A 14251-nucleotide genomic window follows, 5' to 3' on the forward strand; every position below is an offset into this window, starting at 1 on the left:
AATAGACTTCATGAATAGTTTATGATTTTTTTCCTTGAATATAATTTTTTTAATCCTTTCACTGGAATAATGAATAATGGGAATGGATGAGCAAAATAAAACAAAGAGGCAAGTGTGGTTTTTGTTTTTGACTGATTACTGTTTTGTAAGAATATTTTTGAAGTGTAATGATATATGGAAACATTGCTTTTCAACTTTTTATTTTGACGTAATTTCAAACTTAAAGTTGGAAGGGCAGTACAAAGAATTTCAGATACTATTCATCCAGATCCCCAAGTTAACATTTATGATATTTGCTTAATCCCTTTCTAGCACATGATCATTTTTCCTTCTTTCTCTCTGCTAGCTGACATGATGCCCCTTTATCTCTAAATATCTCAGTGTGTTTCTTAGAAACAAAGATATTCCTTTATGTTAGTTAATTCAAGATAATTATCAAAATTAGAACATTAACATTGGTACAATGCTGTCTTCTAATATATAGATCTTATTCAAATAGGTTTTGCCCATTGTCTTCATTGGCAATAGAAAGTCCTTGATTATGTTTAGTCTCTTAAATCTCCTTTAATCTGGAGCAATTCTTTGGAAGCTATCTTTCATGATATTGAAATTTTTGATAGATATAGGCCAGTTATTTTATAGACCATCCCTCAATTTGAGTTTGTCTGATGTTTTTTCTTTAAAAAAATTTTTTTTTTTATTTTTCACCCTGTCTTATGGTGCTGATGATGTTTCTGATTTGATAAGGCCGTGCTTTTTAAAGTAGGAATACTGCAAAAGTGCATCATATTAGAAAGCACATACTAATTTATCCTGTTACTAGTGATGTTAATTTTGATCTTCTGGTTAAGGGTATTGTCTTCAAGGTGTCTGAAATTTCTGCAGTATTAACATTTTGGCCAGCTAATTCTTTGCTTGAGGGTGCGGAATGCTGTCCAATGCATTGTAGGATGTTTGGCATCCTCTACCTACAAGATGCTGGTAGCACCACTTCCCCAATTGTGACAACAGAAATGTGTCCAGATATTCACATATGTGCACTGGGGAGCAAAACCCCCTCCCACTTTCTTAAGAACCATTACTCTACTGTAATGTTACTGTTTTTCTCTTACAGATAATAAATACTTAAAATAAATAAATAAATACCTCATAGAGAGATACCCTGAGATTGTATATGTGTCCTTCTCCATAAATTTCTATCCGATTGTTTTAGTATCTACTGATGTTTCTTGCCTGATTCAGTTATCATTTATTGGTTGCCAAATGGTGATTTTTCTCATCCTGTCATTCCTTCTACATTTATTAGTTGACTATTTATTAATACTATAAGGAAGAGCTTTCCCTTCTTATATATGTAGGTATGTATTGGTGTGGATAAATGGATGATTTTATTCAATGGACTATAATGTTACTAATAGTATTTATTTTGATGCTCAAATTGTCCCTGATTTAGCCATTGGGAGTCCATCACGCAGCTTTCTGTGTCCTTTTGACATATCTCTGTCATTCTTTAAGTACTTTCTACCTTTTTGTCACAACAATATGTTCCAGGGTCATCTTATACTTTCCCTGTTGTAGCCAGAAACCAGTCTTTTCTCTATGGAGCCCCCCCACCTTTTTTGGTAGGTAATGGTATTTATAAAGTAAGATCTAGTTGCTAGTAATCATTATTGCTAGAATCTCATTGCATCTAGGTCCTCTTAGTGGATAAAGCTAGGAAGTGTATGTATGTATGTACATATATACACACGTATATACATATATATTACCCATTCCTATATCTATTTATATGCATATTAAAAATAATGAGACTGTGGGAGCCCAATGTGGGCAGATCACTTGAGACCAGGAGTTTGAGACCAGCCTGGGCAACATGGTGAAACTCCATCTCTAAAAAAATTAAACAGGTGCAGCGATGTGCGCCTGTAGTCCCAGCTACTTGGAAGGCTGAGGCAGGAGGATCACTTGAGCTCAGGAGGCTGAGGCTGCAGTGAGCTGTGAGCACTCTACTGCATTCCAGTCTGGGCGACAGAGTGAGACCCTGTCTCAAAAAAACAAACAAACAATAAAAAACACAAAATTTCACACTGATATTTCTGTTTCAGTCCAGTATCTCAGAGTTCATTCTGTTATTCTTCCTCCTTTCTATATTTGTTAATCCTTTCTGTGATTGTCAGAAATCTGGCTTCCATATGGAAAAAGTTTGAATCCTTAGAATAAAGCCATCAGTGATACCAGTAGTTATTTGTGACTCTTAAAATTAACCAAACTGACTTTTAAAAAATATCATTTTCAGGGTCATAATCGTATCATTGCCTACAGTAGACCAGTTTATTTCTGCATATGTTGCGGTCTTATTTGGCTCTTGGATTATGGTAGCAGAAACCTGACTGCAACCAAGTTCAAATTATATGGAATAACTTTCACCAATCCACTGGTGTTTATATCAGCCAGGGATTTAGTTATAGGTGAGTCATCTTAAAGTATCTCTAATCTTAAAATTAATTTATTTGTATATCAACATTTTACTGATAAATATATCAATTATACAGCTTTAGTTTTTAATAAGCTTATTTTACTGTTATTATGTGCTCTGAGGAACAAAGTGATAGGACTATTATGAGTGAATAAAGCTAATGATGAACAAATATTATAGTAATTCTTTTGTTCTTGGAGTAGATATAATGCAGAAGATTTTTTTGGTTTTGTTATCTTAGGTTTCTATTATGTGAAAATGGTTGAAATAACTTTAAAAAGTATTGTTTATGATTGAAAAGATGTTATTTACTACCCAAGCAATTATGTTGAGAGGTATCATTTAAAATACTGTCTTTTAAAAATTGCTTAGTAGTTTATGTTAATTTGGGATTTTTAAAAATTATGACCTCTCAGTGGACACAAGAATGGATACAGTATAATATTTTAAAATATACTTTTCTTTCTTTTTATAGTGTTTACACTCTGTTTCCCAATAGTGTTTTTCATTGGTCTCCTGCCTCAGGTGAATACATTTGTAATGTACCTTTGTGAACAATTGGATATTCATATTTTTGGTGGTAATGGTGAGTACTTCTTTATAAAAATTATAGATTACAGTATTACCTTTATAGATCATGAAGTAATAAACTGACCATTAAAATGCTTTTCCAGTTTTCACTTCAGGCTTGAAATTAGAAAAAAAAAAGACATTAAGTGATTGAAGACTGAGAAGCAATTAATTTGTGGATAGGAAAAAATAGTCAAGTCTGCTACTTTAGAGAAAGAGCCAGGTATAATGAAGCAGATGTTTAAGAAGTTATAAAATAATGTCTGCAACTAAAAGTTCTAGTGAATTTACATGGAGCCTACATATACTTAAGAGGTATTCATAAAAGATCATCTATCCTGAGTAGATTGAGGTTTGATACATAGCATTATATTTGGATTTTAAACCAGTATGTGCATTTAGTAGGTCTTCATATTTGGTTTCAGAGCCTTGTTTTATCCTTAGAATGGTAACACCAAAACCAGAATCTAAAAGTATTTTAGTAATAAATAAGTTTTTAAGAACTATCTCTGTTCATTGAGTAGAATATGTGGCTATGAATTGATACACTTAGAAAATCTATTTCCATATTACCCTGGAATAGATAATGGTTTGTAGAACTTGAAAATAATCATATCAGCATACACCATGGTTAAAATATACCATTATTTAGTTTAACCATTTAAAATTTTACTGAAAGATGAGTTTGCAACTAGAGAAAATGAAAGGGAAAGAAATTACTGTAACTTTATAGTTCATTTCTCTACACGTTTCACATTTTCAGGCCTCATTTATTTTCCAAGCATATGCATTGAAATCCTCTCTGCTGATAAAATGTCAATATTATGGCTTTCATTTTAAATAGAAACTGAGTTTTTGCTATGTTGCTGTATATCATACTAGAGAATTTTTAATGTTTTGAAAATTTTTTGAAGGGGTATGAATTAAGACAGAACTGGTTTCATCAATCAGCATGGCTTAATGGGTAGAAGACAGTTTGAATATTTAGGGACTATTACTGGTGTTATATTACTGTAAATACTATGGGGAGGGCTTAGTGTAGGTAATTTATGATAATGGGCTTTTGTCATACTATAATTTACAAACTTATGCAAGGTATTAGGTTTCTGATATCTCATAAGGAATTATTTCTGTAGATTTCTTTTATTATTATTAAATTACTACTAAAGAAAATCTGTTACCCATGTTTTAAAAATAAAGTCTAGATATCTTAGCCATCCCCTATTCCTTATTACTAATAACTCCCATTGGAGTATTAGTAATTATCTATTTCATTGTTGTTGCTATTGTTAGCAATTAGAGCTACAGTGTCTAAAGTATCTGTTATTAGATCTAAAGTATCTATTTTGTTGTTGTTATTGTTAGCAATTAGATCTACACTTTTTTTCTGAAAATTAACACATGGGCATACAGATTTACTTCTGGGGGTAACACAGGTTCTGTTTACATAGATAAATGTTTTTCAGTGAACACTTAATACATCTCCAGTTCCTGTTCAGGCCTCTGAAAACTTCATTTTTCCACATTTTTTGTTAATATAAGATATATTCTTGAAGCATAATATAGATAAAATTTTTTCTTGCTACATATAAATGTTTATTGCTTCCAAGATGAACATATTTTATCTCGTAACAAAGACTCAGGATAGCAAATCTCTGTTCATGTCAAAATCTTTTTGAAAGAAATAATGAAGTAACTGAATTTCTGAAATTCAGATTAGTAGATATTTAATGATAGTTGACATTATAATATTTTAAATGCTTTTCAGTGACCTTTTAATTATTTTCATATATTTTTATAAAATGTTTCTTACCTTTTCCTTTTCCTGTCTAGCCACTACAAGCCTGCTTGCAGCACTTTACAGTTTTATCTGTAGCATTGTTGCAGTAGCCTTATTGTATGGATTATGTTATGGGGCTTTAAAGGTGAGCAATAAATTATAGTATGTTTTGTCTTTAAGGCTATATTTCTATATGAAGGTTGTTTTAAAATCAACTAATAATGATTTCTTCCCCTGGTATCGCTTAGCATTAATTTTCATGGTCTTCATATGTTAAACATTATTCTCATTCTCAACTACTTTGAATTTGAAAGTAGTTTAATAGTTAACCATTACTAAAAGAAAATTATTTTTCCTGCAGTAGTCGTAGGTTAATATTAGAAACAGATTATTGAAAACTAGGCTCATCTGGTATAAGGGTAGGCATAGTAATTACAGAATATGAAATCAATTTTAAAATTCTAGTTAAGAATTTAACTACTTTTCCTATTAGTTTTTTTAAACTTATAAAAACAAGTTCAAGGACTGCAATTTAAGATACATGCTAATAAAAAGTAATATACTGAAATTTAACGTCATTATTGGGTTAGAAGATCTGGATGAGCCTTATGAACTTTCCTTTAAAAGATTGTCAACAAGTTGTAAACATAAAAATTTAAAAATTTTTGTAGACAGCTTTCAGCTCCTCATGCATACTTGTGGTTTATTTTTGTTTTTTGTTTGGCGACTAGTGCAAGACAATCAGAGAATGGTAGGGTTGAAAGGACTATGACAAGTGACTCACAGATCCTTCCTTGCCTCATTTAAGTAGCATTTATAGAGCATTTATGTGTACCAGGTACTATGCTAAACCATTTTCTGCTTTGAAGGAGCTTGTAGATTAGCTATGATTAACAAGTCAGCCAGCATGTTCAAGACAGTGTAACGAAGGTTATGAAAACAGTTCTGTGGGTGTACAAATTAAGACTACTTTATTCTGCCAAAAGGGATTAAAGACAATTTTCCAGGAAGGTGATATAACCAGATTTTGAAGATCAAATAGGCATTAGCTAATTGAAACAAGAAATGAAGACCCATGGACTTGTAAAGAAAATGTGTTGTGTAGAGGAAATGGCAAATGATTAGGAATTTCTGGAGGTTTGGGTACATGAGGAAAGATGACATCTAAGGTCATTCCTCTAAGGCTAGAAAGGTAAGCAAAGGCTGGATCATTTAGTTTTAATTTCTTCTTACCCACATTGTATGACTATATCACAGTTTACCTGCTGTGTTAGAGATGCTCATTTGAGATGTTTCTAGTTGAGGAATATTATGAATAAGCCTGCTGTGAATATCATCTTGCAAGTCTTTTTGTGGACATGTGTATTCATTTCTCTTGGGTAAATACCTAGAAATGGAATTAACAGTTTTCCAAAGTCGTTGTGCTGGACATCTTTTGGTTTTTTTAGTTTTAATTTTTATCAGAGTTGTACATTCATATATCACAGTGTCAAATAGTTTTACAAGACTTATAGCAAGAACAGCAATCTCCTAACCTGTTTTACCTTCCTCAGACTTACTATTTTTAACTGATTCTTTTTGGCATTTACCTGTATAGATCTACCTTTCATTTCTGCTTCTTACATTTTCTGACAGCTTCAGCAGAACCTGTGGACTGCCCTTTATGAAAGTTGGAGGCTTGACTTCCTTTCTTTCTTTTTTTTTAGAAGCTTGTTTAGAATGCATGTGGTCCATTTATTCCTCAGAGTATTCTAGTTTACGTGCCTAGATTAGGTTAAACCATCCGAGAGCTGCATGTTTGGACCAGGCTGTCTGGCCACCTCTAGGGTTTCCTTGCCCACGTTTCCCTTCAGCATTATGCCTGCCATTTGCACGGAGGCACCTTCCAAGGGTGTGTGTAAGAAAACAGCGGTCCCTTTATCATGGGGCTGTAATGTTGATGTCCTTCAATGCTTTGTTTAGTGTCCCTTCTGTAAAGACTCAATCAAGATGTTTCTTTTAAATCTTGATGACAGCCAGTTCTTGTTTGTTTTCCTAAGAAATCTAGAATGCATTTTGGTTTTGGCTTTTTGTTTTTTCCCCATATAACCAGTGTTATTTTTAAAATTTCCCTTGGCCATTAAGCAGCTCAAAGCCAAATTCCCTGCTTACGTCCAGGAATTTATGGCTTTTGTCTCCCATATCCCTTCCCTCATCATCATAAATGAGGTCCTGAGCAGGATGATGGTTATAAGGATATTTTGCCTTATACTAATTCAAATTCATTAAGTTATCCATTTGTTTCTGAGATTTCTTTTTTTTACATTTGTGTTATGTTTAACAACATTATTAAAGAATAGTAACAGTTCAGAAAAAGGTTGTTAATTTAAACTTTCTGCAAACATCACTGAAAACTTCACCAAGTATACAAGACTTTTTTCTTAGCCAGAAGCCCTTCCACCAAAACTCTAAGCACACCCAAAATCACTGTGCCCAAGAGCCCTGGGTGTCTGGTGAGCTGCTACACTGCACATGTACATATCTGCGAATTAAAATGTGCAAATGTGCAAATATGCAAATGGAGAAGGGGCATTTCCTGACCAGTCAAGGGAAGCTCCCTGGAAGTGTCTGTCCCTGACTCATCTACATTCTTATACCTCAAATCCAACATCCCTTCCTAGCACTTGGTGTGGGGGACCCCAGGCCAAGTGCTGGGACAGGTGTGCAGGTACAAGGCTGAGTGGGCAAATCATCCCTCAAAGCCCAGCAAGGTGCCCAGTGCACCAACAGCATAATGCACCTGAAAACAAGGTCCAGAAGCCCTGGCACAGGACCTTCCTTCCTGCCCTCCCATTCTCCCGTCAGACCAAACAAAGAGGACAGCAGCACCTAGGGCCCCACAGGACAGCACACAAGAATGCCCCAACTTCAACAACCTCCTGAGACAGAAGGGGACTCAGTCTAATCCTGCACAATAGACTTAGGCAGCCCAGCTCTGCAGCTCAACAGCTCTGTGGGTGGGACGTCTCTCACCGTCAGTAGGTCCTGCTCACGTCTGTACATGAGCCCCAGAGCTAAGTGGCCTTTGGCCTTGAACTCTGATGTTTTCTCTCTCACATCAACGACATTTTTGGGAAACTTCTCAGCCTCTTCCTACCAGTGCAGGGAGCCCATGCATAGCTTGGCAGCGAGGAGAGGGATGGTGGCATCGTCTGGCTTCAGGTAGACACACTGTTTCAGCACTTTCACAGCACGAGCAGATTTTCCAGCAGCCATCAGGGACAGAGCAAACTGGTACCACAGGCGGAACTCCCCAAAGGCAAACTTCATGGCTCTTTCTAGGCACTGTGGTTCATTGTCTCATGCCAAGAAAGAATTCAAGACACGGACACACACAAGGAGTGGGTTTAAGAGTGGAAAGATTAATAGACAAAGAAGAAGAGAGAGAGAGAGAAAGTTTCCTCATGCTGAGAAAGCAGGTCGCTCAAGAGAGGGTCTCCCAGAGGCTTGACTTACTTTCTCTCACCCCAGCCTGCACTACACATGTAGCCTCTCTTGTCTCCCTCATATACCTGATGTGTTTGCTTTATTATCACTGTGTAAATGCTCTTCCTTCATATCTTTTGTTTTCTCCTATACTTTGCTTTCATATGTATTTATCTCCCTTTCATTCTCAAGCTCTTAAGATATTAACTTTCTTTTCAGTACATTCAAACATGTCAAGAGTTCACTTTCTGGCTCTGCCACTTAACTGGACAAATTACTTAAACCCTCTTCTGTGCCTTAGTTTTCTCATCTATAAATTGGGGGGTAATAGTACATATTTTCAAGGTTATTGTAAAAATTATTTGGGAAATACAAAGATCTAAGGATGCAGCTCTACACAGTGTTCAATATGATGATAAGGTTTTGATGTAGCTATTAAAAAAATAAAATGTCTGTGTTATGATGTGAAACAATTCCCAAGTCTACTTTTAAGTGGAAAAAAGGCAAGTTGTATTAAAAACTGCCGTTTGGGTCCCCACTCCTACCATGTTTCCTTTCTGAATCTCCAGAGAACAATGAAGGATTAGAGTATTGTCTGCCTCACAGGACATACTTAAGAACTGTTACCTGTTCCAGTTAGTGTATTGCCCATTCTCTGCCAGGTATCATGCTGATAGACTCCAGAGATGCTACAATGAGCAGAGCTCATACGGAGTGACCACGTGTGGTTGGCTTTGGAAGATAGCCTTTGTAGTATTTCCTTCTGGGTATATGCAGTCATTCATTCAAAAAACAGTTACTGAATGCCTGCTCAGTGCTGTGGAGGACATAGTAGTTTATTACATGGGCAAAGGCATCAAGAAAGTAACACACCAAATGTCAGACTTTTCTTTTGCCTAATATATCATGTGTTGTCTTTTCCTACTCTTATTATTGTATCTAAAATTTACTATGCCAAGATATCTTATTCTTCCAAAAGGAACACAGTTTACCACAAACAATAGCACTTAAAATGTGAAAGAATTGATAGCCTCATGCATCAAAAGCAAATTATTCCTCATGTATGAGTAGAGCTTTAGTGCCCTCCCCCCAAAAACATCTGTAGCTTTAGTACCAAAGACATTTAGTGGCCAGATTCTAACTCATCAGAAAGTAATAAATCTAAATTTTTCTGGAATAAAATGCAATTAATAACGTGGCTAAAAACTTTTGTTGAATTTAAGTTCGTTGTCTTTTTCCAAAATACGTACATAAAAGGATTATGTGATATATTACAAATTAGAAGCATATTATTCTGTTAAATTCATTTTTCCGCAGGATTCTTGGGATGGCCAGCATATTCCAGTACTTTTCTCCATTTTTTGTGGTTTATTAGTGGCAGTGTCTTACCATCTCAGCCGACAAAGCAGTGATCCATCTGTACTTTTGTAAGTGAACTCAATTGTTATTGAATTAAAAGAAATTTAAGTAAGTTGGTGTTTTTTTCAAATACCTTTGAAGATCTCTTTTTCCCAATGCCTTTCCAAAGTGCTTTGGCCTAATCTATATTAAGTTTCAAAATATAATAATTTTGGGTTATTCAAATCAGGTTGGCTGAGAATATTAGTGTTTTCCTTCCCAATTATTGAAACTATGTTTTAATAAAAATATTTTCACTGTATGCTTATTTATGGTATCCTAAACATTTTAGAATTTCTCATTTGGTAATGATTAAATATACTCGAATCATTTGGTTTTCTATCATAAACTTCATTGCCCGTTTGAATTACTGGTTTTCAGATTATCTATGTATTTTCTGTTTTTTTTTCTTCACATAAAGCTCTTTAGTGCAATCCAAGATTTTTCCAAAAACGGAAGAGAAAAATCCAGAAGACCCTCTATCTGAAGTAAAAGATCCACTGCCTGAAAAACTTAGAAATTCTGTTGTAAGTTTTAACATTTAGAATCACCTAAAAGACTTAAATCTTAGACAGTTGATCATGTTATATGAGGAACACTTTTTGAAAGTCATTAGTAATTGGAGAAAAATGTATAATTATAATTTATAGGATTAGTTGTACATTGTTGATTGTCTTTATTCCAAATATTAACATATAAGAAATGCTCATTCCTCAGACTTGGTTTGTGTGTAGAACAGAATACTAAACATTTATTTTTAGGTCAGGTGAAATTAAGTCATTTCATTGGCCATAGAATTTTTACTCCTATTTGATTTAGACTAGGATCTGAAAGATTAGCATTAACACAAATTAGATTCATTTTGTTGTTGTTGTTCATCTTGTTGTTGAAAAAAACTATGTCTCTGTAAGTCATTTATTAGTCTTTTAGGTTGTTTTATTTCTCAAGGCCCATCTGAAAACTGTGTGTGTATTCTAGGCTGAAGGAGAGAACAATAACCTGTATTAATGTACTTAAGTAAACGCAGTAATTTTTTAAATTTTCTAATTTGGTGAATTGTAATGTTGCTTGTATTCTTTTAGTAATTATTTGAAAAATGAATTCTGTAAAATTGTGTCTATTTATGGAATAAAACAAAATCTTTTTCTCAGTTTTAGGTCATTTTCCTTTGCAAAAGACTGAATTTATGTAGATGTTGAATTAGACACATTTACTTTCAGTGCACTTGACCTGTTCACATATTTTTTTCAGAAACTTTAGAAATACAAAACTATATCAAGATATTAGAATGACTTTTTTCTAACTTTAGTTTCCATGTTGGCAGAGGATGTTTCATGTTACGTATAGTAGGATATTCTGAATCTGGCTTATAAGCATAAATCTAAGAGGTCAGTTGATGACCAAAGAGATCAAGAGGTTTCTGGTTTTTCTATGACCACTGATGGAACCAAAATCTAATAAGTAAAATAGGACTTAAGCACACAGTTTTCACATGTCAAAAGACCAATGAAGATATAAGTTATCCAAAGGGATATACCCCTATAAATGACACCGTGGTCAGGAGTGGTGGTGTGTGCCTGTAATTCAGCTACTTGGGAGACTAAGGCTGGAGGATCCCCTGAGCTCAGGGGTTCTGAGCTCTAGTGTACAATGACTATACCTGTGAATAGACACTGCACTCCAGCCTGGGCAACATAGTGAGACCCTGTCTCAAAAACAAACAAAAAATTACAGTAACTTAAGGTACCTTATTTCCTTTCCCCATATGTGAAAGTAAAACTTACCAATGGGGGAATAAAATCTTCATTCTAAAAGACTTTATTGCAATATGTTATACGGCATGCAGAACTAGATACGTTGTTCAATTTCTTTGGTATTACAGTGTCAAAGCCAAAATATGAGGAAATTGAGGAAGAAAATAAGATTTTTTGTGGTTAATTATTATGTGTAAGAAATCTAGAAGTGTGGCCAGGTGTGGTGGCTCACACCTGTAATCCCAGCACTTTGGGAGGCCAAGATGGGCGTATATCACTTGAGGTCAGGAGTTCGAGATCAGCCTGGCCAACATGGTGAAACCCTGTCTCTACTAAAAATACAAAATATTAGCTGGGTATGGTGGGGTGTGGTGGCTCACACCTGTAATCCCAGCACTTTGGGAGGCCAAGATGGGCGTATATCACTTGAGGTCAGGAGTTCGAGATCAGCCTGGCCAACATGGTGAAACCCTGTCTCTACTAAAAATACAAAATATTAGCTGGGTATGGTGGGGTGTGGTGGCACGACCAGCTACCTGGGAGGCTGAGGCAGGAGAATCGCTTGAACCCAGGAGGTGGAGGTTGCAGTGAGCCAAAATTGTCCCACTGCACTCCATCTTAGAGAAAGAGAGACTCTAGAAGTGTTAAAGTATCAATGAAAACTTCTTTTTTTTTTTCTTTAATACTGACTGAGCTAGCCAGGCAAAAAATTAATTCTTAAACTTTGCCAATTGGGAATAAAGGAAAAAGATTTTTAAAAATTTTATGTAATTGTTTAATAATTCTTTTTTTTCCCCACAGAGTGAGCGATTACAGTCTGACCTGGTAGTATGCATTGTAATTGGTGTGCTGTATTTTGCTATTCATGTAAGCACAGTCTTCACAGTATTGCAGGTAAGGAATCATTTTCTCCTTTTATTTGTTTGTTTGTTTGAGACAGGGTCTCACTCTGTCACCCAGGCTGGAGTGCAGTGTTGCGATCACAGTTCATTCTAACCTTGAATCCCTGGGCTCAAGTGATCCTCCCACGTAGCTAGGACTACAGTTGTGCACCACCACACCAGGCTAATTTAAAGAATTTTTTCTTCTTTTTTTGTAGAAACTGAGTCTTGTTGTGTTGCCCGAGCTGGTCTCAAACTCCTGGGCTCAAGCATTTCTCCTGCCCCAGTCTCCCAAAGTGCTAGAATTACAGATGTGAGCTACTTCACCCAGCCTGTATATGTTTAGATACACAAGTATTTGCCATTGTGTTACAGTTGCCTACAGTATTCAGTACAGTAACATACTATACATTTTTGTAGCTTAAGAGCAATAGGCTCTACCACATAGCCTCAGTGATAGTAGGCTATACTATCTTGTCTATCTATGTAAGTACACTGTGATGTTTGCACGATGATGACATTGCCTAAACACACATTTCTCATAACGTATCCTGTTGTTAAGCAGGACTATAACTTTGTTTGGACTTATTTCTGATTCGATTTTAATATTTGTCCGTAGTGCTGAAATACATGACTTTTTATTTGTTTTTTTAATCAACAAATACTTATTTTCTGTGAAGAAAGGCATTGGTAGCTTGATGGGGATGGCATTGAATCTGTAAATTACCTTGGGCAGTATGGCCATTTTCACGATATTTATTCTTCCTACCCATGAGCATGGAATGTTCTTCCATCTGTTTGTATCCTCTTTTATTTCCTTGAGCAGCGGTTTGTAGTTCTCCTTGAAGAGGTCCTTCACATCCCTTGTAAGTTGGATTCCTAGGTATTTTATTCTCTTTGAAGCAATTGTGAATGGGAGTTCACTCATGATTTGGCTCTCTGTTTGTCTGTTGCTGGTGTATAGGAATGCTTGTGATTTTTGCACATTGATTTTGTATCCTGAGACTTTGCTGAAGTTGCTTATCAGCTTAAGGAGATTTTGGGCTGAGACAATGGGGTTTTCTAGATATACAATCATGTCATCTGCAAACAGGGACAATTTGACTTCCTCTTTTCCTAATTGAATACCCTTTATTTCCTTCTCCTGCCTAATTGCCCTGGCCAGAACTTCCAACACTATGTTGAATAGGAGTGGTGAGAGAGGGCATCCCTGTCTTGTGCCAGTTTTCAAAGGGAATGCTTCCAGTTTTTGCCCATTCAGTATGATATTGGCTGTGGGTTTGTCATAGATAGCTCTTATTATTTTGAAATATGTCCCATCAATACCTAATTTATTGAGAGATTTTAGCATGAAGGGTTGTTGAATTTTGTCAAAGGCCTTTTCTGCATCTATTGAGATAATCATGTGGTTTTTGTCTTTGGCTCTGTTTATATGCTGGATTACATTTATTGATTTGCATATATTGAACCAGCCTTGCATCCCAGGGATGAAGCCCACTTGATCATGGTGGATAAGCTTTTTGATGTGCTGCTGGATTCGGTTTGCCAGTATTTTATTGAGGATTTTTGAAAAAACTACTTTAAAGTTCATATGGAACCAAAAAAGAGCCCGCATCGCCAAGTGAATCCTAAGCCAAAAGAACAAAGCTGGAGGCATCACACTACCTGACTTCAAACTATACTACAAGGCTACAGTAACCAAAACAGCATGGTACTGGTACCAAAACAGAGATATAGATCAATGGAACAGAACAGAGCCCTCAGAAATAACGCCGCGTATCTACAACTATCTGATCTTTGACAAACCTGAGAAAAACAAGCAATGGGGAAAGGATTCCCTATTTAATAAATGGTGCTGGGAAAACTGGCTAGCCATATGTAGAAAGCTGAAACTGGATCCCTTCCTTACACCTTATACAAAAATCAA

The 14251-nt window shown here is 35.5% G+C and overlaps 1 protein-coding gene across 27 annotated transcripts in view; it reads left to right on the top strand.

The window, feature by feature from the left end:
• Positions 1–14251, top strand: part of PCNX1 (pecanex 1) — a 207924-nt gene that overhangs the window by 116362 nt on the left and 77311 nt on the right. For all 27 annotated transcript variants that reach the window (XR_245673.5, XR_007063992.1, XM_005267420.5 and 24 more), the window contains 6 exons: positions 2297–2468; positions 2952–3062; positions 4880–4971; positions 9609–9718; positions 10111–10216; positions 12245–12337. Coding sequence is in view for 25 of the 27 variants with exons in the window: in XM_005267420.5 (XP_005267477.1) it covers positions 2297–2468; positions 2952–3062; positions 4880–4971; positions 9609–9718; positions 10111–10216; positions 12245–12337 (684 nt within the window). In the remaining 2 variants the exon portion in view is untranslated. The remainder of the gene's footprint in view (positions 1–2296; positions 2469–2951; positions 3063–4879; positions 4972–9608; positions 9719–10110; positions 10217–12244; positions 12338–14251) is intronic.

The sequence above is a fragment of the Homo sapiens genome, chromosome 14 (assembly GCF_000001405.40).
Source record: "Homo sapiens chromosome 14, GRCh38.p14 Primary Assembly".
Classification (NCBI taxonomy): Eukaryota; Metazoa; Chordata; class Mammalia; order Primates; family Hominidae; genus Homo; species Homo sapiens.